The 23,946-nt window shown below is 61.5% G+C and overlaps 1 protein-coding gene across 13 annotated transcripts in view, besides 4 other annotated features; it reads right to left on the reverse strand.

The window, feature by feature from the left end:
• The window catches only part of MEGF6 (multiple EGF like domains 6), a 136,836-nt gene that overhangs the window by 81,787 nt on the left and 31,103 nt on the right, over window positions 1–23,946 (reverse strand). For all 13 annotated transcript variants that reach the window (XM_017000533.3, XM_011540886.3, XM_047448229.1 and 10 more), the window contains one exon: window positions 10,088–10,192. In XM_017000533.3, the coding sequence (XP_016856022.1) occupies window positions 10,088–10,192 (105 nt within the window). The remainder of the gene's footprint in view (window positions 1–10,087; window positions 10,193–23,946) is intronic.
• Window positions 7,226–7,725: an enhancer, noted in NCBI's record as "H3K4me1 hESC enhancer chr1:3493527-3494026 (GRCh37/hg19 assembly coordinates)". NCBI's record gives its function as "activates a minimal SCP1, AML or CMV promoter by ChIP-STARR-seq in primed H9 embryonic stem cells {active_cell/tissue: H9 hESC(primed)}" and the evidence as "EXISTENCE:reporter gene assay evidence [ECO:0000049][PMID:30033119]".
• Window positions 20,411–20,976: an enhancer, noted in NCBI's record as "H3K4me1 hESC enhancer chr1:3506712-3507277 (GRCh37/hg19 assembly coordinates)". NCBI's record gives its function as "activates a minimal SCP1, AML or CMV promoter by ChIP-STARR-seq in primed H9 embryonic stem cells {active_cell/tissue: H9 hESC(primed)}" and the evidence as "EXISTENCE:reporter gene assay evidence [ECO:0000049][PMID:30033119]".
• Window positions 20,977–21,541: an enhancer, noted in NCBI's record as "H3K4me1 hESC enhancer chr1:3507278-3507842 (GRCh37/hg19 assembly coordinates)". NCBI's record gives its function as "activates a minimal SCP1, AML or CMV promoter by ChIP-STARR-seq in primed H9 embryonic stem cells {active_cell/tissue: H9 hESC(primed)}" and the evidence as "EXISTENCE:reporter gene assay evidence [ECO:0000049][PMID:30033119]".
• Window positions 22,022–22,701: an enhancer, noted in NCBI's record as "H3K4me1 hESC enhancer chr1:3508323-3509002 (GRCh37/hg19 assembly coordinates)". NCBI's record gives its function as "activates a minimal SCP1, AML or CMV promoter by ChIP-STARR-seq in naive H9 embryonic stem cells {active_cell/tissue: H9 hESC(naive)}" and the evidence as "EXISTENCE:reporter gene assay evidence [ECO:0000049][PMID:30033119]".

Genomic DNA, 23,946 nt, shown 5'->3' on the forward strand with positions numbered 1-23,946 from the left:
GAAGACTTGAGATGCCCACTCACCAGGCAGCACAGGGGCAGTTGGGGGAGCCTACAGAAGCCCCCCACCCCACAATGCCTGGGAGGGTCCGCCTCTTAATGTCTCCTGCTGTAATTATGTCATTAAAAGACTACCCTGTCTGTGAAGCCAGCATGGGAGAGGCCACACAACCCCACTGTGCACAGAGCCAAGGCCAGGGAGGATAGCATTATCCCAGGAGAAAGACAGAGGCCCTTTTGTGGGTGGCAGGGAAGGGGGAGAACAAACCTGGTAATTAAACAATTCACTGCACAAACAGGAATCCCCTTCCCAGAGTCAGCCCTTTGAAAGACAGGCTGGATTCTGCAGGCGGTCTCAGTCTCCCCAGCTGTCCTGTCGAGGAGGTGGCCCAGCCTGAGCATAGCAAGATGGTCGTGGAGGGGCCACACCTGTCCCAGCCGACTGTCACGCAGGGACTGAGGCCAGAGAAGCCAAAGTCAGGCACCTGCCCCACCCACTCAACCCACTTCAGGCAGAAGGGGCCGCCTGGGACTGAGGCCAGTGAAGCCAAAGTCAAGCACCTGCCCTGCCCGCTCAACCCACTGCAGGCAGAAGGGGCCGCCCGGCAGGCACTGGCTCCCACGGGGAAGCGGGACTCGGGGGATTTCCAGGGACTCAGTGCAGTTAAAGAGGATGTGCGTGGAAAAGCCAAAGGCCACAGGGAAAGGATAGCCAGGCAGGCTGCTGGGCATGGGGTTTTCTGATTACCCAGAAACCAGGCAGAGCTCCTCAAAGCCTGGGACCTGAGGGCAGCCAGACAGGGTGAGAGTCAAGGAGGCATCTTCCGGCCCAGGTGCCAGGTGCTCTGTCCACCCGCCGGGGCACACCCGCTGCTCCAGCCCTGCTCAGCAGACAACCACTGCACCACCAACCTTGCCTCCAAGAAAGACCACATGGGCCTGGGAATGTGAGGATAGGAGGCTGCCCCTGCCCTGCCCCTGTGCCAGGCCCTCACTGCCTGCAGGGCATGAAGCCCACAACTGGCCTAGCAGGAAATCATCCTGCCCCCTCCACCGCCCAGCCTGGTACCAGGCACAGAGCCTGCTCAGGAGGCTAGTCATCCTCCCCATTCACACGGCAGAGGCTCAGCCCTCCCTCCAGCCATCCCCCGGGGCCACCCAGTCTCTCCCCTCCACCAATCCCCAGGGACAGGGCCCCAGGGAGGCTGTGGCACACGGGGACACACACACCACAGCCCTATCTCCCCCTCTGAGCCGGCTCAGCACCAGCTTGTCTTCATGGCTGACACCTCCATGTTCCTCGGGGGCCTCCAGGGACCCCATTAACTGTGAGCACAGACAGCCAACAGCCTGGGGAGCAGGACACAGAGAGAGGGTCTGGGGGACCAGGGGTGGCCCTGGGCCATCCCACAAGGAGGGGACAGCCATGGCCAGTGGCTGGGTTTTCTGATGGTCCAGAAACCAGAGAGTGCTCCTCCAAGCCTGGAACCCAGAACAGCCAGGAAGGGCAGGAGTCAATGAGGCATCTCCCAGCCCAGGTGTCAGGTGTCCGGTGCTTGTAGGACACGACCCCACCATGGAGGCCAGAAGCCTGTTCTTGCTCTCAGAGGACTCCCACCCCCGAGCACAGAGAGCAGGAAAACACCGAGACCAAGGCCAGCCTGCCCCAAAGGCCAGAGAGCAAGGTTCCTGAGTAAGGACATCCCCCCCAGACACGCTGGGTCCTCCCCAAGGGTGCTGGGTCCTCCCGGCTCCAAAGGCCAGAGAGCAAGGTTCCTGGGTGAGGGTGTCCCCCCAGACACACTGAGTCCTCCCCAAGGGTGCTGGGTCTTCCCCCCAAGTGTGCTGGGTCCTTCCTGCATATGCTGGGTCATTTCCTGGTATGCTGGCCCTGCTGGGTGTGCTGGGTCCTTCCTGGGTGTGCTAGGTCCTTCCTGCATATGCTGGTTCCTTCCTGGCGTGCTGGGTTCTCCTGGGTGTGCTGGGTCCTTGCGGGTGCACTGGGTCTTCCCTGGTGTGCTGGGTCCCCGTGGGTGTGCTGAGTCCTTTCCAGGTGTGCTGGGTCCTCCTGGGTGTGCTGGGTCCTGCTGGGTGTGCTAGGTCCTCCTGGGTGTGCTGGGTCCTCCTGGGTGTCCTGGGTCCTGCCAGGTGTGCTGGGTCCTCCTGGGTGTGCTGGGTCCTTCAGGGTGTACTGGGTCCTCCTGGGTGTGCTGGGTCCTCCTGGGTGTGCTGGGTCCTTCCTGGGTGTGCTGGGTTCTCCTGGGTGTGCTGGGTCCTTCCTGAGTGTGCTAGGTCCTTCCCGGGTGTGCTGGGTCTTTCCTGGGTGTGCTGGGTCCTTCCTGGTATGCTGGGTCCTCCCGGGTGTGCTGGGTCCTTCCTGAGTGTGTTAGGTTCTCCCAGCTATGCTGGGTTCTCTCAGGTGTGCTGGGTCCTCCTGGGTGTGCTGGGTCCTCCTGGGTGTGCTGGGTCCTTCCTGAGTGTGCTAGGTCCTTCCCGAGTGTGCTGGGTTCTCTCAGGTGTGCTGGGTCCTCCTGGGTGTGCTGGGTCCTCCTGGGTGTGCTGGGTCCTTCCTGGGTGTGCTGGGTCCTCCTGGGTGTGCTGGGTTCTCTCAGGTGTGCTGGGTCCTCCTGGGTGTGCTGGGTTCTCTCAGGTGTGCTGGGTCCTCCTGGGTGTGCTGGGTTCTCTCAGGTGTGCTGGGTCCTCCTGGGTGTGCTGGGTCCTTCCTGGGTGTGCTGGGTCCTTCCTGGGTGTGCTGGGTCCTCCCGGGTGTGCTGAGTCCTTCCTGAGTGTGTTAGGTTCTCCCAGGTATGCTGGGTTCTCTCAGGTATGCTGGGTCCTTCCTGTGTGTGATGGGTTCTCCTGAGTATGCTGGGTCCTCCTGGGTGTGCTGGGTCCTTCCTGGGTGTGCTGGGTCCTTCCTGGTGTACTGGGTCCTCCCAGGTGTGCTGGGTCCTTCCTGAGTGTGTTAGGTTCTCCCAGGTATGCTGGGTTCTCTCAGGTGTGCTGGGTCCTTCCTGTGTGTGCTGGGTTCTCCTGCGTATGCTGGGTCCTTCCTGGGTGTGCTGGGTCCTCCCTGTGTGTGCTGGGTTCTCCTGGGTGTGCTGGGTCCTTCCTGGGTGTGCTGGGTTCTCCTGGGTGTGCTGGGTCCTTCCTGGGTGTGCTGGGTTCTCCTGGGTGTGCTGGGTCCTTCCTGGGTGTGCTGGGTTCTTCTGGGTGTACTGAGTCCTTCCTGGGTGTGCTGGGTTCTCCTGGGTGTGCTGGGTCTTTCCTGGGTGTGCTGGGTTCTCCTGGGTATGCTGAGTTCTCTTGGGTGTGCTGGGTCCTCCCTGGTGGGCTGGGTTCCCTCAGGTGTGCTGGGTCCTTCCTGGTATGCTGGGTCCTCCTGTGTGTGCTGGGTCCTCCCTGGTGGGCTGTGTTCCCTCAGGTGTGCTGGGTCCTCCCTGGTATGCTGGGTCCTCCTGCGTGTGCTGCGTCCTTCCTGTGTGTGCTGGGTTCCCCCAGGTTTGCTGGGTCCTCCCAGGTGTGCTGGGTCCCCCCGCCAGGTAACCCCTAGTCCTCCTGGGGCATGCTAGGATCATTTCTCACACCAGACACAAAAAGCCTCCCCCAGGGTGGCCTCCTGGCTGAGCCAGCTCCAGGCCCAGATGGAAACCTTCTGCTTGGCTGCACCCAAAGGTAAGCACGGGAAACAGTGCGGGGAGCCTGGAACTACAGCCCAGGACCAGGGTCAGGTTAACCCGAGGCCACGTCCACAGGACAAAGCTGAGATGCCTCCCCAGGAATCAGCCCAGGCTGGGGCTGCTGCAGGCTGCAGGCCTCTGGACAAGGTCCCATGGCAGGGAGCAGGACCAGAGACAGCCCCAGCTCCAGCTCCAGCCAGGGAGTGCACAACATGGAGAGAGGCTGTGAAAAGAACATCCCTGCCCCAGAGCCCGCCCTTCCAGGAGCCCCGTCCTCCCCTCCCACCACTCCCTGGGGCACAGAGTCTGAGTCTGGCAGCGGCAGCTCCCAGGCCTGGCCGTGGCTGGTCGCCAAGAGCAGCCCTGGGTGGCGTCTGGAGCTCGGGCGAGGGGTCAGACTCCCACCCTCAGACACAGTGGGCAGCATTGAAAGGCAGTGGGGAGGGCCGCTTCCTCTCCATTAATCAATGGTCCCAGTTTAGAAACAGTCGCCCTGAGCCAACGCCAAGGGCTAAACGGGCTCAGGACACCACCCAGTCCTAGCCACCCAACCTTCTCCAAGGCTCTGCTTCCTGGCATAGCCTCAGGGCCCCAACAGCTGCCAGAGCCACCTCCAGCCCACACCCGAGAGGCCCACACCCGAGAGACCCCCACTGAGGGCCTCCTGCTTGAGGCAGGGAAACCGAGGTTTCCTTCAAAGGTGCAGGACTCAGAGTGGGCCTGGGTGCTGAGGCTCCAGGCAGGACCACTGATGTCTCCCCCGGCTTGGCAGGCACACAGCAGGTACCCAGGAGCACCTGCCAGCTGGCCCCCAGCAACGCCTGGCTCCATCTCACCGAGAGAGGCCGAGGACCTTCTAGAAGCTTGGCTGACCCTTCCTTCATTCCCGACCCCGTACCTCAGGGCCAAAATGACTTTCTCCTCTGCTCTGCTCCTCTGCTCCTGTCTCTGTCCTGTCTGGAAACTTGTCCGGAACAAATTGCACCTCCCAAACCTTCCCCAGCCCACAGGCCCACCTCCTCCAGGAAGCCCTTGGGGCAGCCAAGCCTCTGATGGGCATCACTGGAACCCTGACCACTCACCTGGACCCAGGAGTGAGGGTGGCAACACTCTAGTGTGGTGGTGCTGGAGACCCGTCTGATCTGCCCCTTTGACTGGTGCCGGGGGTGGGGGGGTGGGAACTGAGGCCCAAAAGGGAATCAGAGCCAAAGGTTACTATTTATTTATTTACTTATTTATCTATTGAGACAGGGTCTTGCTCTGTCAGCTAGGCTGGAGTCCAGTGGCGCAATCTTGGCTCACTGCAACCTCCACCTCCCAGGTTCAATCAATCCTCCTGCCTCAGCCTCCTGGGTAGCTGGAATTAGAGGCGCCCGCCACCACACCTGGCTAATTTTTGTATTTTTGGTAGAGACGGGGTTTCACCATGTTGCTCAGGCTGGTCTCGAACTCCTGAGCTCAAGTGATACACGTGCCTCGGCCTCCCAAAGGACTGGGATTACAGGTGTGAGCCACCACGCCTGGCTTGAGCCAAAGGTTCTTGAACCAAGAAAGTACCTAGAGGTGACCCAGGCCTCATTTCTCAGAGCCTGCCCTTGTCCCATGAGGTCAGCTGAGACCAGATCAAGAGATCTGTAGAGACTTTTGTGACTTCGTGTACTACAAAAGACAAATCTATTAGGAGGTCATTTGTTCTCAGTAACTTTTTCTTGCTGGTCTTTTCATTACCAATTCTGAGCCAAGCCCAGGTCACCAGTGGGTGTTGGGGAAGGGGTGGGGGCATCCATCCACGCTTGCCAGAGCAGCGCACACAGGTGGGACCCGGGTGCAAAGGCAGGAAGAGGCCAGGTTTTCAGCTGTGAAAACTGTTCCTGGTTGGTCTGATGAAACTGATACTCTGATGGGACCCCAAAGTCCTCCCAGGGACAGGGGAGGGGGTCTTTAGAGTCCCCCTCGCTCCTTTGCAGACCCACAGGGCAAGGAAACTGGCAGTCCTGGGGGATCTTCCAAACCCTGGACCACTCTGGGAGACTCCACATGGCAGCTGGGTGCTCTTGTGTAATTACCCCAAGAGCCAGGGTATTAGTCCGTTTTCCAACTGCTGACATACCCTAGACTGGGCAATTTACAAAAGAAAGAGGTTTAATGGACTTACAGTTCCACGTGGCTGGGGAGGCCTCACAATCATGGCAGAAGGCAAGGAGGAGCAAGTCACATCTTACATGGATGGCAGCAGGCAAAGAGAGAGAGCTTGTGCGGGGAAACTCCCCCTTATAAACCATCAGATCTCATGAGACTTATTCACTATCACGAGAACAGCACGGGAAAGACCTGCCCCCATGACTCAACCACCTTCCACTGGGTCCCTCCCATGACACGTGGGAATTATGGGACATACAAGATGAGATTTCGGTAGGGACACAGCCAAACCATATCAGCTGGGGACAAAGTCTGCACCTGAGCCATCACAATGGTTGTCCCTGCCATGACCCCCACTTCCCGACCCTTCTGCCAGGCCCACTCCGGGCCTCACCTACGTGGACTCACGCAACCTGCACAAAACATCGCCAAATCTCCTCCCTGCTGAACAGAAGGGGGACTGGGGTCCAAGAGGTGGAGTAGGTTACCCCGGTCACACAGGCACAGGCCTGGGGAACACCAAAGCCAGCCCTGGACAAAATGAGCGGCTGGCCCTGACTGTGACTGCGCCGAGGCCTGCACTGGGCCGGGGAAGCCTTCACTGCAGGGCCTGCCCAGCGCCGGGCCCTCCACCCTCCGGGCAGACAGGCCCGCTTTGTGCTCCCACGGCTCCCGCTGCTTCTGCGGAAGGGCTCCCAGGGCCTCAGGGAAACACTGCTGCAAAGTCCCCGCCCGCTGCAGACCCGAGACTTGCCATCTGGGCCAAGGAGGGAGAGCTGGGGCTGTGGGCAGCAGGGAGGGCTCCTTCCCCCCACTGCCCTCCATAGCTGCCCAGAGAGTTCCTGTCTCCCTCCCCAACTCCTTTGTTCAAATGAAATAATTTGGGGGAACCAGAAAATATGGCTTTTATTTTCAAAACTGGAATCAATTATAATTGGGGGGTTAGTGAAATATTCCCAACTGCGTTTGAGCTCAGGTCTGCAGTCCCCAGACCCAGAGTGGAGGAGGGACAGGAAGGTGATGGTGAGAGGTCTAGGTGGGAGCACTATGGGCAGGGGCTACACCTGCAGGCAGCACCCCCTCAGCCCTGGTCCTGCACACCTGGCCCTGCAAACCCGGCCTGCACACTCAGCCCTGCACACTCAGTCCTGTACACTCAGTCCTGCACCCTCAGCCCTGCACACTCCACCCTGCATGCCCAGCCCTGCACATTCCACCCCTGCACACCTGGCCCTGCACACTCCACCCCTGCAGGCCTGGCCCTGCACATCCAGCTCTACACACTCCATCCTGCATGCCCAGCCCTGCACACTCCACCCCCGCACACCTGGCCCTGCACACTCCACCCCTGCACACCTGGCCCTGCACACTCCACCCCTGCACACCTGGCCCTGCACATCCAGCTCTGCACACTCCATCCTGCATGCCCAGCCCTGCACACTCCACCCCTGCACACCTGGCCCTGCACACTCCACCCCTGCACACCTGGCCCTGCACACCCAGCTCTACACACTCCATCCTGAATGTCCAGCCCTGCATAATTGAGCCCCGCACCCTCGGCTCTGCACACCCAGCCTCCATACCCTCCCCTTCTTCCGAGAGAGTGACCAGCGAGGAGGCCGGGCAGCCACCCTCCAGCTTGTCAACTGCCCCCTGTGAAGGCCACGTCTGCCCCAACTGGCCACTCTCCCAGGAGGCCCGCTACCCAAGGGCCACAAGCCAGCCACAGGGGAGGATGCTCCTGCCCTGCAGGGGACCCTGCTCCCCTCTCCTCCAAAGCAAATCTCAACAGCTCCCCCGGGACCAAGGCTTGTCCCTGCACCAGGTGGCAGCATGGCCAGAAGGGAGCACATGGCACTCCTCAGACAGACCTGGCTTCAGCCCCAACTAGGCTGCTTGTGAGCTGAGCACCAGCAGCTGCTGGGTCTCCTCAACCTTGCTTTCCTCTTTCATGAAGCAAATGAAGTGTGGAGCTGATGAGGTGACGCAGGCAGAGAGTGGCCCAGAGCCAGGAGGGAGCTCCCAGCCTCCAGCCTCCCTGCTCTGCGGTGCGTTCCCACGGTGACTGGGGCATGGGGCTGCTGCTGTGGATGCTGAGCCCCGGGCCCAGGCACCGTGAGAGTCTGTGACACAGAAGTCAGAGCCAAGAGGCTGGTGGGGCGCAGGGAACCTGAGTGCACCCCACCCCCAAGCACCCAAGCATGGGCATCTGAGCCCACTCCGCAGTGCTGGCCTGGGCCTGGGGAAGACAGGCCCCTCCCACTGGGCATGGAGCCCCCCCAACAATGCCAAACCCCCAAAGATGCAGAGCCCTCGCCCCACGCTGGACACTGAGCCTCCACGAGACGCCGAGTTCCCCCACAGGGTGTGCAGCCCGCAGTGAGCCTCCTGCAAGCCCTGTGCCTGCCGATGCCCCGGGGTCCACGCGTCAGGGTCTCATGGAGCAGGGGGCTTGGAGCTGGCTCCTGACAAAGATGAGGTGGGAGGAGGGGACTGACGGTGGGCAGAAGGCCAGCCCTGAGGGGGCAGGTCAGGTGTCCTCCCTCCCCTCCCAGAGGACACGGCCAGGAAAGGCCACCCCGCAAGGCCACCTCCTCCTCGCCCTCCCCTAGGAACAGAGACCACAGGAGGCTCTGCTTGGCCGACCAGTGAGCCACAGCCCCGTCCCGGAAACCTCCCCAGCCTGCCCAGTCAGCCCTGGTATTTCCGCGTGAAACCAAAGTCAAGCGGCGCACATTGCCAAAAGATTAGACAAATGAGACGGAAAGGCCCTCGGGACATTTCTCAACTCCCACCTGTGGCCAAATGACAGCTCCCAAGAAGCCAAACGTGACAGTGGAGCCCACTCCATCCTGTGTGGACCCCACCTGTCCTCGGAACAGGGATGGGTCACCTCTGACCAGCCCGCAGAGGGACCACAGGGAGGCCTGGCCAAGGCCTGCAGCCTGGATGTCACAGGGCAATGACAGGGCAGGGGCCCTGGGGGGGGGGGGCCCTTTCGTCCACACGAGACAGACAGATCTCAGTCCATGGTCACTGCAGCAGCCCTCCCAGCCACCCAGCATCCAGGAAGCAGCAGGCACTCGCGGTGACTCGGCAGGGGCCGTCCCAGCTAACAGAGGACATTCAATAAACCCTCCAGCACCAACTGTCCGCCTTTCCAACAATGGCCAATGCCCCAGGCTGCTGGCACCCAGCTCAGAACTCTGGGGAGACCCAGCACCTCTGCAGAACCCCTCCTCAGCCTGGTCCCCAGCGGAACGTGGAGTGGGCAGGAGTGTCACCCAGCTCAGAACGCTGGGGAGACCCAGCACCTCTGCAGAACCCCTCCTCAGCCCGGCCCCCAGCGCAACGTGGAGTGGGCAGGGGTGTCCTTCACAAACACGGGGACCTCCTGATTCATCCGATTTCCTCGAATCGCTTCCTGCTGCCTGCCTGGGCACCGGAGTGCATCTCTCGCTCTGCCCTGGCATCTGCCTGGCATGGAGCCCCGGTGGCCACCACACGAGCAGTCCCAAAGCCCCAGGGCCACTGGGAGTGTTTCATGCCATCGGGACGGCCGTGGCTCAGGCTGTCTGAGGCCAGGATGAAGAAACCCGGGACAGAGCAGGAAGCCACAGAGGAAGGGAAGACTCCCGCTTCCCATGGCCCAAATGAATCAGGACGAGGCTCTGCCGCTTTTCCCCGCATTGGCACGCACTTTTCTTTACAGAAATCCCGTCACCCCAGTAGCTTGCTTTCAGCCCATCCCCACTCCCTGCAAGCATCTCCTTCGCCACCAGCTCCTGCTTCAACCTGGTCTTCAGGGCCTGTGCGGGAGTCCCATTTACAGCTGTGCTGCGGTTACTCAACCAGTCGCCTTGGCTAAGACCCCCGGGTGTCCCCCATCTTTTAACACTGAGGACAACGACAGTTCAGCAAGGTGGCAGCACAGGTGGAGACCCTGGGACCTGGCCACCCCCTGCCTTTCTAGGGGGCCAGCGTCCCCATTTATAAACAGCAGGGCTGGACGCAGTGGGCGCTGAGATGATATGCTTCAGCGCCACCCACTGACGGGGGGTCTCTCAGGGTCACCCTTCCCCTCGACACCCTCAGAGGGGCTGCAGGGAACTGGTGGAGGGATTGCGGAATGTCCTCAGAAGAATGCCCGTTCACTCGGGGTGTCCCCTACACAGCTGTGCTGGGGACGGCCAGTGGCCGACACATCCTCGCCCCTTGCCCACAGGCTGGCCATGGCCAGGGCCTTGGTCCCCCAGGGGCTCCACTCACCATACTGACAGCGGGGTCCCTGGAAGCCGGGGGGACAGTGACACGGCTGGGCTGAGCCTGGCACACAACGGCCACCGTGAAAACAGAGGCTGGCGCTGCATTCAGCTGCGGAGGGAAGGAGAAAATCGGTGAGAGGGGCAAGGAGGGGTGAGGCAGGGGGAGGTGAGGCCTGAGGGTCTCTCGGGCAGGCAGCCCACCCAGCCTGCCAGGTCCCCAGCCCCGTTCTCTCTGTCCTAGGTCACACATTGCCCGGCCACCAATGGAGGCTGGCGTGTCCCCAAACTCCAGCCACGGCCACGTGCAGTTGGGGTTAGGCGGAACCCCTCTGGAGGGCAGTAAAGCCCTAACTCACTTCACCTAGATGGGGAGGAGCCAAGGGCATTTCCTGGGGAAGGTGGGCAGGGAGTGGGGTCTGAGAGGGGTGGGAGGAGGGAAGGTGGGGGTGCAGGGGGGAGGGGTGGGCTGCCCAGTGGTCAGCGCTGCACAGCTGCAAGGGCCGGCTGAGGACCCCCCTCAAGACCCTGATGGTAGAACCTACTAGGTTGGCCCCAGCCCCGGGAGGGGAGGCTCCGGCCCAGGCCAGTCAGACCCCAGGGAGGGGAGGAGGAAAGGTCCCGGCAGGTGGGGAGCCAAGTGTTGACAGCGGCTGCCCTGGGGCTCCCCAGGGAAAGCGAGGCCAGGGTGTGAGGGTGGAGGAGGCCACAGCTGGACCTGAGAGGCAAGGCAGGGGCTCTGGAGAGAGAGGGGCGCCTTGTGGCTTGGCAGGCAGCCCCGTTACTGACAGACCCACACTGCCTCACTGCCCCCTCCACAGCAGGTGCCCCCCAGGCTGGACCGGGTGCCCCCCGGGGGCTCCAATACCAACTTCCTTCACCGGGCAGCCCCTACCCTGCACGTTACTACTTGGGAGGGCAGGGCCAGGGTGGGATGGCAGGGCCAGGGTGGGTGGGCTGCACCTCACCCCTGAGGGGTGCTTGCTGGGTGACTGCATGGTCAGCACAGTGACCTGAGACCCCCTGCCCCACCCCGGAGCCTGTGTGACCTGTGGGCTCAGTGAGTTTGTGTGTCACTCACAGCACCCCTGCCAGTAGCAGGGAGGGAAGCTCTAGACAAGGGGGCCCTGCCGGTGGCTGGGCTGGGGCTCCTGGGATTCCCAGGCACAGGTCGTGTCAGCTGAGAGGAAGAAGGACACTCAGGCACTCGTCGTCTAAGCAGCCCCAGACCAGGGGCTGTGCCCGGTGGGGAAACTGAGGCTCAGAGACTTCATTACCTGGCCTGGACCACAGAGTGAGCCATGACCGGCTCGGGCTTCAGGGCCTATGTGGCCATCCTGTTTACAGATATGCCCAAGGCCAGCACCCAAACCTGGACTTGGGGTCAGGAGGACCCGGCCTGGGCTGGCACAGAGAAACACGGGTCCCTGTGAATGCTTCTTCCTCCCACCCTCCTGCAATCACAGCCACTACCATTGCCCCAGGCATGGCGGCATCCCCTCCCCACCTGGGCCCTCACACACATCTGGCCACATTCAGGCCCTACCAGCCTCTTCCCTCCAGCCAAACACCTGCAGCCTGAGGATGTGTCCGAACGCGATAGGGTGGGGGCCAGGGGGCTGCAGGGAAGCCGGATGGAAGTTGCCATGACCCTGGAGGAAGCACAGGAAATTCCCCAGGGACCGGGGACCAACCCGGGGCCCAGTAACAGGAAACATCCGTGTCCCAAGTGTTGAGGCCTGATGCCTGCTGACTTGTGCAACTGCAGCAGCAAGCCAGCTGTGTTTAGTTCCCACCATGAGGAAGGTTTTAGGTTTTCCTTGTCCTGAAGACCTCTAGCCCCAAATAGCCAAGACCAATCACCCCCGGGTGGGGAGCAGGTGCCGGCCTGGAGACCACCCCTAGGATGCTGCCCTCCCCAGGCTCTGCTGAAGGACGGAAGGCAGGACCTGCCCAGATCTCGGAGCCTGGGGAAAAGCAGCCACTCACTGCCTCCCTCCTCCCACCCTGTTTCCCACGGGCTGGGCCCCACCCTCCTGTTCTCAGGGCCCCTCTCCTGGAGCCCGTGCACACCACCCTGTGTCCCTCCCCTAAACCCCATACCATTCCCTCCCTCCCTGCCCTCCCAGGAAGCATCTGCCTAAATCTGAAACAAAGGGGAAAAGGGGCGTGCTTCTGAAAATCCCAGCCAGATCCAGCATCCCTGCTGTCCCGGCTGAGGACACCATCTCTCAAGGCAGGCGGAGCTGACTCTGCCGGCGGAGAGGGGCACACGGACCCTACCACAGATGCACCCAGCAGGACACCAGGCCCGGGGCAGCCACTGCCCTCTCTTCAGTGTCCAGGACAGACATTAATTGTTGCTCTTCATCCTGGGCTAGAAGGAGGACACGGAGACCAATGATTAACGTCTGTCCCAGGCTGGGAGGGTACAGCCACAAGATGTTCCCCGGACCCTGGGGCAGTCACTGGGATGCGCACACAGCGAATCCTCCCAGCAGCTCACCGAGCGGCTCAGACCAGGGGTCTGGGAGATAGCCCCGTACGCACTGGATCATTCACCTGCATCCCGTCCAAAGCCAGTCCAGTCGGGTCCACCCTCAGGGTATCTTGAACACACCCACGTCTCTCCACCTCGTCTCCTCCATGACACCAAGGCCACCGTCATCCCCTGCCCTCTGCAGACGCCTCTTAGCCGGCCCCAGCTTCTCCTGCTCACTCTATTTCCATTCTCTACCCTGCTGCCATAGTGACTTTTTAGAATACAACTCAGATCTTGGTTCCCCGGTTGCAAACCCTTCACTGGCTTTCCATTGACTTGGCACAAAACACCGCGGCCCCCAGATCCTCCCTATTAGACCCCCATCCAGCTCCTGGCCTCACCCCAGACTCAGCTCTCCCTGCTTGGGGGCCTCCCATGAGAAAGCTGCTCTCCGTGTGGACAACTCTTCTCTTCCCCAAATGTCACTTCCACAGGGAGGCTCCCTAACCCGTCTCCAAATCAGAGCCCACAGCGCCCCGCTCTTGCCCCCTCTAGTGCCTCTCAACTGTGATTAGGCACTCAGTTGGGGTGACAGCTCACTTCCCATGCCAGGCCCTGGGCTCCCTGAGAGCAGCCCCCAACTCCATCTTGATCGCTGTCACGCACCCAGTTCCGACACGCAGGTGCACCAGCAAGCTTGTTGATGAAGGGGTGAATGAATGAACAAACCACCGCATGGCCAGGCCAGCCAGGTGTGAGAGACCTGTGGATGCTCCTTGGGGAAAGGGAGGGTGCAAGGGGACGGAGGAGGAGGGCTACCCATGGACTTGCTCCCAAGGGGTGGAAAAATACTACGAGGCTCTAAAACAAAGATGCGCAAAGCTGCGCTCCAAACCGAGAGCAGGTGTTCCTGGTAGACACCCCCATGCCGTCAGCATCCCCTCCGCACTGCAGCATGTGCTGACAACCCACAGCCACCAGACAACCCACAGCCACCAGACAACGCGCAGCCACCAGACAACCCACAGCCACCAGACAACGCGCAGCCACCAGACAACGCGCAGCCACCAGACAACCCACAGCCACCAGACAACGCGCAGCCACCAGACAACCCGCAGCCACCAGACAACGCACAGCCACCAGACAACGCGCAGCCACCAGACAACGCGCAGCCACCAGACAACCCACAGCCACCAGACAACGCGCAGCCACCAGACAACGCGCAGCCACCAGACAACCCACAGCCACCAGACAACGCGCAGCCACCAGACAACGCGCAGCCACCAGACAACCCACAGCCACCAGACAACGCGCAGCCACCAGACAACGCGCAGCCACCAGACAACCCACAGCCACCAGACAACGCGCAGCCACCAGACAACCCGCAGCCACCAGACAACGCACAGCCACCAGACAACGCGCAGCCACCAGACAACGCGCAGCCACCAGACAACCCACAGCCACAGCCACCAGACAACCCGCAGCCACCAGACAACGCGCAGCCACCAGACAACGCGCAGCCACCAGACAACGCGCAGCCACCAGACAACCCGCAGCCACCAGACAACGCGCAGCCACCAGACAACGCGCAGCCACCAGACAACGCGCAGCCACCAGACAATGCACAGCCACCTGCAGCAGCCCGGCCTCCAGAGCTGTCGAGGGCCACGCCTCTCCCTCATTCACAGAATGGGAACTGGCAGTGAGGACCGTGGCCATTTGCCAGCTGCCCAGCTTCCCAGGCATCTGCTCTAGGGTGAAACTGGGCAGGTCTGCCTCAAATTCCTAGACCTAAGGCTGGGAGGGCCCTTAGAGGCATCCAGGGTGCCACCGGCGCAGGACGGCAGGTTTGGGGAGGGCATGGCGGCATGTCCAGGCCATGTCTGTAGCCTCTTTAATGCCCCCCACTTTCTCACATTGGACTGAACCACAAGCAAACGCCTCTCCCAGTGGCTGGAGCTCATTTCCAGAATCGGGTTAACTGTGGAAAGGGGACTGGATTCCTCTCCAGGGACTCGGTTCCTGCAGGTGAAGACCTTGGGCCACTTCTCTGGAGCTGCCGCTTGGCCAGAGCCCTTGGCAACTTTTCTTCCTGCCCCTTGAACAACCCAGCCATCCTTTGGGAAGTTGGGGTGACCACCAGGCGGATCAAGCCTTCCTCTCCTCCTTCCTCGCCCACCACCCTGGCTCTCCAAAGGTGATCGCTGGAGCAGGGGCAGTGCACCCAGAACCTTCCAGAAGAAGGAGCTCCAGCTGCCACTAAGCATCACTCTGGACTCTGGTGACTGGCGCCACGTCTGTGCCTCATGGCCTGTGTTCCCCCACACCAGAGTCCCAGGGCAGGCCCACGTCCCCTCACCATGCACCAGCAGAAACCTCCAGGGGACAGGGACGGAGCCGAGGATCAGGGACTCCTGCCCCTTCTGCTGAGGACATTGAGCAGTCCCCAGGCCTGCATCTGAGACGGTAACCACAGAATCCAGGGTAGGTCTCTGCCCGCAAGCACCGGGGAGGCATGGGCGGGTGGTAAGGCCGCTGCCCTCAGCACCTGCACACCCCCTGGATGGGGCTCCCAGCCCGGAGGTGCCTGGGGACTCTAAGGCGTCACGGGGCTCCCCACCCAGCACCCTACAGGGCAGCTCTTGTGCTGAAGAGGGAACAGAAGGAGGTTCTGGGCCAGGTGTGAGGATGGAGCTGCAGCCATGAATGGGAGCAGGTGTAGGTGTGAGTGACACACGTCCTGTGTGTGGGAGTGAGTGACACGTGTCCTATGTGTGAGTGTGAGTGAGGACACATGTCCTGTGTGAGGACGTATGTCCTGTGTGTGGGTGTGAGTGACACATGTCCTGTGTGTGGGTGTGTGGACACGTCCTGTGTGTGGGTGTGAGTGACACATGTCCTATGTGTGAGTATGAGTGAGGACACTTGTCCTGTGTGTGGGTGTGAGTGACATATGTCCTGTGTGTGGGTGTGTGGACGCATGTCCTGTGTGTGGGTGTGCGGACGCATGTCCTGTGTGTGGGAATGAGTGACACATGTCCTATGTGTGTGAGTGAGGACACACGTCCTGTGTGTGGGTGTCTGGACGCATGTCCTGTGTGTGGGTGTGAGTGACACATGTCCTGTGTGTGGGTGTCTGGACGCATGTCCTGTGTGTGGGTGTGAGTGACACATGTCCTGTGTGTGAGGACACTTGTCCTGTGTGTGGGTGTGAGTGACACATGTCCTGTTGTGGGTGTGACACATGTCCTGTGTGTGGGTGTGAATGAGGACACATGTCCTGTGTGTGGACACGTCCTGTGTGTGGGTGTGAGTGACACATGTCCTGTGTGTGGGTGTGTGGACGCATGTCCTGTGTGTGGGTGTGTGGATGCATGACCTGTGTGTGGGTGTGACATATGTCCTGTGTGTGGGTGTGAGGACGCATGTCCTGTGTGTGGGTGTGAGTGACACATGTCCTGTGTGTGAGGACACTTGTCCTGTGTGTGGGTGTGAGTGACACATGTCCTGTTGTGGGTGTGACACATGTCCTGTGTGTGGGTGTGAATGAGGACACTTGTCCTGTGTGTGGGTGTGAGGACACATGTCCTGTGTGTGGACACGTCCTGTGTGTGGGTGTGAGTGACACATGTCCTGTGTGTGGGTGTGAGGACGCATGTCCTGTGTGTGGGTGTGTGGACGCATGTCCTGTGTGTGGGTGTGTGGACACATGTCCTGTGTGTGGGTGTGTGGACGCATGTCCTGCGTGTGGGTGTGAGTGTGGACACACGTGCTGTGTGTGGGTGTGAGGACACATGTCCTGTGTGAGTGACACGTGTCCTGTGTGTGGGTGTGACACATGTCCTGTGTGTGTGTGAGGACACATGTCCTGTGTGTGGGTGTGAGTGTGGACACACGTGCTGTGTGTGAGGACACATGTCCTGTGTGTGGGTGTGAGCGAGGAGACATGTCCTGTGCATATGATTGAGCATGGTGTGTGAGCATATGTCTGCACATAAGCATGCATGTGGCGTGTGGCCTTGTGCACGCTCGAGTGAGCATGTATGGGCATGATCGTGAATAGGTGCTCACAGATGTGTGTGCGTATGCGTGTGTGTGTGCCAATCTGTGCAAGGCAGTGCATGAGTGAGCTCGTCTGGTGGGCGGCGGGTGCAGATGCAAACGTGTGCCTGGCACAGGGGTCTGTGAGTCTGGATGTGACTCCATAGGAGGAGAGACGTGGGGTGTAGGGGTGGGGGTCACAGTGGGACAGCAGGTCCTGCCAGGCCATTTGTGAAGCCCGTGCTGTGTCTGCATGGAGGAAAAGGGAGCCCAGAGCCTGGGGGGCCAGCTCAGCCAATTCCCACGCTGGGACTCGGGGCTGGCATGCGGCCCGAACGGAAAAGGAAAAGCAAATGGCGGAGGCAGGAAAATGGAGGGCGGCCCGGGGTCCACAGAGGGCCCTGCAGCCCCTTCCCAGCAGGCCCAGCCAACCAGGTGGGCAGAGGCCACAGGGCCCAGATGACCCAGGAGGGGAGGGAGACCTGCCGGGCCCGCCGGCCTGATGGTCCAACAGCTGGACATGGGGCCCCAAGCCCAGGCCTCACCCTGGCACCCCTGACTATAGGTGCCAAGGCCGCAGGTGCACCAGAGCCCAGATCCAGGGCAGTGTCCAGCAGCCTGGACCCCCATCGATTCTGCCAACCCCACCTGTGTGCAAGGAGGAAGGCCACCACCCCCGTCCGGGGTTTCTGCAGCAACACAAGCTGTATATAGCACCCTTGACATAAGTAACTCCATCTTAGAGTCAGACTCTATTTCATATCTCACAGGGCACTTTGCCAACAAGGACAAGCTGTCTGTTGCTTAATAAACAAATTTTAAAAATAAAGATTGCATGCAACACAAACAAGCACACTCTCCACTCTCAGGCCTCACCGAGGACTCCGCGGTCATAACACCAGCGGGCCTTCAGCTGCTGGAAAGGGCTGTCCTCGTGGAAAGAAGTCAGCATCTGCCCCGAAGGCTCTGCCACATCAGAGGCCCTTGTAAGGCCCACGGAGGCCGCCAGGGCCAGACCAGGAGATGCTTTTTGTCTTTGTTTGTCTTTTGTCTTTCCTCCCGTTGACCCTTTCTCCTATCTCTTTTTCTCCCGGTGTTCAATGTGACTTTGTTTGTTGTGAAATGTTTAACCTATAGCATTTATATATTGACTAAGTACACTGTGATGTATAGTTTGCAATGTTGACGGGCGTGTGGAGCGGCGGGAGCCTGCGTGCCTGCGGCTCTGACTACAGAGTGAACCGGAAGCACGAAGGAGAACCGCCTCCTCACGAACTTCATGGAGCTCACAGCCTCTGTGATAGAAATAGCATCAATAAAGTCTGACATTGTGGAAAGACAGGATCATGCTCATGCGTGGACCTGGCTATCTCTGAGCCTGCACTGCTCATGAGACAAACCATCGCAACACCTCCCTGCAGACTCAAAGCCTGCGCAGGCCATGGATTTCCTGAGAATGTGTTTGTCCTCCCTGGACAGCTCAGCATCCCCCAGGTAGCAAGGGGACAGGAGGGGCCAGGAGGGGACAGGAGTGGCCAGGAGTGGCCAGGAGGGGGCAGGAGTGGCCAGGAGGGGGCAGGAGAGGCCAGGAGGGGGCAGGAGGGGGCAGGAGGGGGCAGGAGGGGGCAGGAGTGGCCAGGAGGGGGCAGGAGAGGCCAGGAGGGGGCAGGAGGGGACAGGAGGGGGCAGGAGTGGCCAGGAGGGGGCAGGACAGGGCAGGAGGGGACAGGAGTGGCCAGGAGTGGCCAGGAGGGGGCAGGAGTGGCCAGGAGGGGGCAGGAGGGGACAGGAGGGGGCAGGAGGGGGCAGAAGGGGACAGGAGGGGGCAGGAGGGGGCAGGAGTGGCCAGGAGGGGGCAGAAGGGGACAGGAGGGGGCAGGAGGGGACAGGAGGGGGCAGGAGGGGGCAGGAGTGGCCAGGAGGGGGCAGAAGGGGACAGGAGGGGGCAGGAGGGGACAGGAGGGGGCAGGAGGGGGCAGGAGTGGCCAGGAGGGGGCAGGAGTGGCCAGGAGGGGGCAGGAGGGGGCAGGAGTGGCCAGGAGGGGGCAGGAGTGGCCAGGAGGGGGCAGGAGGGGGCAGGAGTGGCCAGGAGGGGGCAGGAGAGGCCAGGAGGGGGCAGGAGGGGACAGGAGGGGGCAGGAGTGGCCAGGAGGGGGCAGGACAGGGCAGGAGGGGATAGGAGTGGCCAGGAGTGGCCAGGAGGGGGCAGGAGGGGGCAGGAGGGGACAGGACAGCCTGGAGAGAAGCTCTGGGTAGTCGCACTGAAGCGTCCTCCCTGGGCCGTGGGTGCCTGGGGGTCTGCCCCAGAGTCGAGGGCCAGGCAGGCTGGGCACAGAGAAGGGCTCCAAGGTCCTGCAGCCCCAGCCTTCACAGAGGCAGGGCCGGGCCCAAGCTCTCTAGACTCAGTTCTTGCTCCATCTGCAAATCCAGAATCCCACCCCTTCTCTCTGCCCCTCCTGACCCCCTGAACTGAGTGAGCCCTGTCACCTCTCACAAGGGCCACCATGAAGCAGCCCTCACTCCCACCTCTGCCCTGCACGGCAGGCCCAGCCCCTCCTTTGCACAGACTCTGCCCCTGCCCTCATGAGGGCCCCAGGCCTATCCCCCTGTGGTGGGGTGGAAATCCTGTCCCCCAAATATTCCTGCCTTCCTGTGACCTCTAAATGTGACCCTGCTTAGAAATGGGGTCTTTGCAGATGTGATGAACACCACGACTGAGATGAGGCCCTGCTGGATTAGGGTGGGCCCTAGGGCCTATAGAAAAGGCCCCAGAGACACACAGAGGGGAGATGACCATGTAGAGACGGAGGCAGAGTGGGGAACGAGGCGTCTACAACCACGGAACGCCGCGGAAGCTGGAAGAGATAGGAAGGACCCTCCCCTAGAGCCTCAGGAGCAGGCACAGCCTTGCTGACACCTTGATCTGAGGCTTCTCTCCTCCAGAACTGTGAGAGAGTAAACTCACATTGGTTTCAGTGCTTGGCTCGTGGTCCCTCGCTGCAGCAGCCCCGGGAGCTCATACCTGCGCCCCCCACCCCACGCCCGTCCCATTTGCTCCAGCCACAAGATCCTGCCTCAGGGCCCCGCACCTTCTGTTCCCTACTCAGTGACCTCTTCCCAGGGACGTGCAAGGCCCACCCCTCACATCAGTAGACCACCACCACCCGGACAGAGGAGCCTTCCTGGACCCCCATCCAAGCCAGCACCACCCAGCCCCTCTGCCCCTTCCTCCTGCCTCACTTTACTCCGTAGCATTTCTCACTGGCGGCTTCATCCTTTCCTGAGTGTCTCCTGCAAGGACAGGAGCCCCAGGAGGTCAGGGCAGGTGCAGGTTTCTGCTCACTGCTACCCTCTGGGTCCTGAGCACCGTGGCTGGGCCTCCATGACCGTATGTCAAGTGGATCGCCTGCATCGGCCCCGTTCAACACATTTTAGGGCACTGTTTTATCTCTGTGACTTTGTGGCTTCTTTATTTTCCTTTTCTAAGATGGCCTCAAGATTCAAGGTGCAATTAGTTTGGGAAAGCCTGTATAGTCTGTCTCAGGAATCCACAGGGCACATTCGCATATTAAAGGCTCTGAAAATTCCTGCAAAAGAAGAAATCTGCTGAACTCTGGTTTAGGAAGCGCTTACTGGACCACAGAATCCCTTCCCAGTGCCCATCACAGCCCATGGAGCTGGTGCAGCTCCTAACTGTATGCTGAGGCCCTGCCTCTCCGTCCAGTGGCCTCCCCCTCCCCTGGGCCAGGCCAGCACAGCCCGTATGAGGAGTTGCGGGGTACAGGGGGCTGCAGGCAGGGTATTCCTGGGCTTTGTTCCTCCACGGTTCCATCTCAGGGTGTACATGCGGAAGGACCAGCGAGTCAGCTGCTCCAGGCTGGCGCTCATCTGCCACTCTGCCCACCGGGGAGCCCGGCTTGGAGGAGGGGTGCCCAAGGTAAATGGTGCTGCCAGGACCAGGGAGACTCCGGCTGAAACATGGGCAGGGTCTGGGAAAAACCTGGCACCGGACCAGGATAAAAGTGGAATTCAGAGAATCCATGAGCAGGAAGGACACCCCCCCAGCAAGAGGAGTGGGTCCGAACCCCACTGCACCCGGGCCACAGGCTCCGCAAGGCGTTGTGGGCTCTGGAAGCCCCGGTCATGAGGCCCCACCGCCCCGCCCGGCACTAAGTAAGTGGCTCTCAGGGAAATCATAACACGATTAGCAGCTTCCGGCCAGTCTCACGGGCGTTAGCCTACTCCTCGCTCCTACACAAACACGGCAGGGCTCCCAGGCCCTGACATTGTCCTCCACGGCCGGGTGTCCAGGTCACACGGAAGCAAGGAAATTTCACAACGGCTGGGGGCTGGGGGGCATCATCGGCTCAGGGGCCTCCCCTGTCCCTCCCCTGCCAGCAGGGGCTGGAGGGTGATGGAGAAACAAGGAAGGGGGCAAAGGGTGAGAAAAGAGAGGGCAGAGACAGAGCCAAGCCCTGACCCACAGGGCCCTCTAAAGAGTGAGCGTCTGTCCTGCACAGGGGCCGTGTAAAGAGCGAGCATCTGTCCTGCACAGGGGCCGTGCACCCCACCATCATCCTCCAGCTCACAGGGACAGCGGTGCCCTGGTCTAGGAAGCAGGGAGGACCCTGGCTGGGCGCGGCCCCAGTGCCCACAGGCACACTGGCTGGGGAGACCGTGAGCAGCCGTGTGTGACTCTCAGCAGACCCCACAGAGGCAGAGCCTCCCAGGGGCTGAGGGGCTCCAGCACCTGCAGGGACCTTGAGACTCCCACCCAACACAAGCCCCCGACCCCACCAGCAGCCGCGCCCCGCCCTCCTCGCATGAGCCAGCAGAGATGGGAAGCGCACGGCAGAGCTGGAATGTGGCGTCGGAAACGCTCGGCTAACCCAGGGTGGGAAGGCAGAGCCTCAGCTGAGCACGGGGAGGCAGGAAGAGATATCCCAGAACCACCGAGCAGGGGGTAAGGCCCTGGGCTCGGTCCCCAGAGACCCCTGCTCACAAGCCCTTGGCCAAGGGATGCCAAGACCAAGGTGCCCGATCACCATGTGTGCCACTGTCACTGTCACTGCTACTAACAGGAGTCACCACAGGCCAAGCAGACTTCACCCAGGCCTCCTCCTCTAAGAACAAGAGCTGGCACTGCTTGAGCTCTTACTGTATACAGGCACCAAGCAAAGGCTCCACATGAAGTGACTCATTTAATCCCAGGTTTTCAGGTGGGTGTTGTCACACCTAAGTCCTGGAGCCTGAGGCCTGATGGGGGCGCGGGCGAGGGGGCTGTTGGGGGCTGCTACCAAGGTCTCAGAGCTCACAAGGGACCTGATGGGGGCGCCAGCGAGGCAGCTGGTGGGGGCTGCTACCAAGGTCTCGTAGCTCACAAGGGACCCGATGGGGGCGCCGGCAAGGGGGCTGTTGGGGGCTGCTACCAAGGTCTCGTAGCTCACAAGGGACCGGATGGGGGCACCAGCGAGGGGGCTGGTGGGGGCTGCTACCAAGGTCTCGTAGCTCACAAGGGACCGGATGGGGGCACCAGCGAGGGGGCTGGTGGGGGCTGCTACCAAGGTCTCGTAGCTCACAAGCGACCTGGAGGGAACTGAGCCCAGTACTGAGCCATGTTTTCCACTCTTGGCTGCTTGGACGGGCATCGGCATCCGGCCCATCAGCGAACACTTGCTCCACATGCTGGCTCAGGTCAGGCCAGGCCAGGGTCCCTGAGGCCACCCATTCTGCCCTGCCAGGGCACTACTGTGGGATGCAGAGAAGCCCCCAGCCCCAGCCAGCCCAACAACCTCACACAGTGGCCCCAGGAGAGCAGCCGGTCTAGAGAGAGGCTGGCACGGTGCCCCCAGGCCTGCAGGTCCCGGCGTGCAGCCCACTGCCCTGAGAGGGGCAGCTTGAGGAAGGGCCTGCAGGCTTCCCTGCCTAGACTGGAGGCCTCGTGGTGTGGGGAGGTCCAAAAGCCTTGGCCAGGCCCCCCGCTGACCCTGACTCACTGCTCCCTCTCTGACGTTCCGGGCTCCCAGGCAGCCCCCCAGACACTCCCGCAGTCCCCAGCACCACCCTCCAGGCCCCCAATGGCCCTCATCTGCTCATCCTCACTCCTGCAGGCCTCGTCACACCCTGGCCACAGGAGAAGCATCTGCTCACAGTCAGCATCCCAGCCATGAGCTCCACATGGGCAAGCACCCGCTGCCAGGGTCCCCGAACCCCCAGGACTCGGCAGCAGCTGAGCCAAAACCCAGCAAACAATTGAGTGACCAAATAAATGAATGACTCTGTGGCTAGCACAGGACGCGCCAGGCAGCACCCCTCCCACCCTTGGGGCTCAGGGGTAGCCCGTGTGAACCCTGACTCCTACCCACCCACCGCCCCCCTCACTTGCTGGGACCCAGCCATGGGGTTGAACAGGGAGCGGCCAGAGAAGGAGATCACAGGGATTCCCCGGACCATGAAAACAAGCAAAAGTAAAAGGTACAAACAAGCAAATCTTGCGCTAAAAACGAATGTTTAAAAACAAGAAGAAAGCCAAAGCTCAAGTCCAGGATCTGTGTGGAGACCCCACCGACGTGACAACCAGGACCCCCACCCTCCCCTGCTCCCTGCCCCCAGCCTCAGCCCAGCCCGGGCTGCCCCGGGGAGGGTCTCAGCCAAGATGCCCTCCACCCCACTCCGGCCAGCAGGGCCAGGCCAGGGCAGAGCCACCACGTTCTTCTAAGGCTCCAGGGTCCCACATGCAGATGGCGGCCTAGTGCCTGGCCACAGCACAGGCAGACAGAGCTGGCAGGACGGGCCCAAAGCTCACCTCGAGCCAGGCTGGTGATGGAGATGGGCACACTCACTAGGCCCTGCTGGGACCATCGAGACACTGAGATCCCCACAGCGGGGAGCGGCTGAACCAGCCTCGGGGGACGACCCAGCAGCCCCTGCCCTCAAGCCTGACTCTGAGACAGTTACTGCTGACGCAGGTGAACACAGGGGCACACGAGGATAGCCAGAGCCCAGCTCGGGGCTCGGAGGGGACGGCATCGGGGGAACGCGGCTGCGCACACCTCTACCTGCAGTTGCCTTCCCCGCCCGGGCTCTCCACCCCCGCCCCACCCAGGACCCCAGGCCCAGGGGCACCCCCACCCCCGCCCCAGCCATTCATGCGGCTGTGCCTTCAAGTCCCCTCCTGGGAACAAAAAGCCCGCTCTCCCCCAGTAAACCCTGGGGACTCGGGCTGGCAGCCCCACTTCCTCTCCCCGCCCCCGGCCTGCTCCAAGCTGCCTATTGTTTCCCCCCATTATTAGAATCCCCTTTGGCAGGCCCCAGAACCCCTGCCTCAGAGTGGAAACCCGGGG

Source organism: Homo sapiens, chromosome 1, assembly GCF_000001405.40.
Source record: "Homo sapiens chromosome 1, GRCh38.p14 Primary Assembly".
Lineage (NCBI taxonomy): Eukaryota > Metazoa > Chordata > Mammalia > Primates > Hominidae > Homo > Homo sapiens.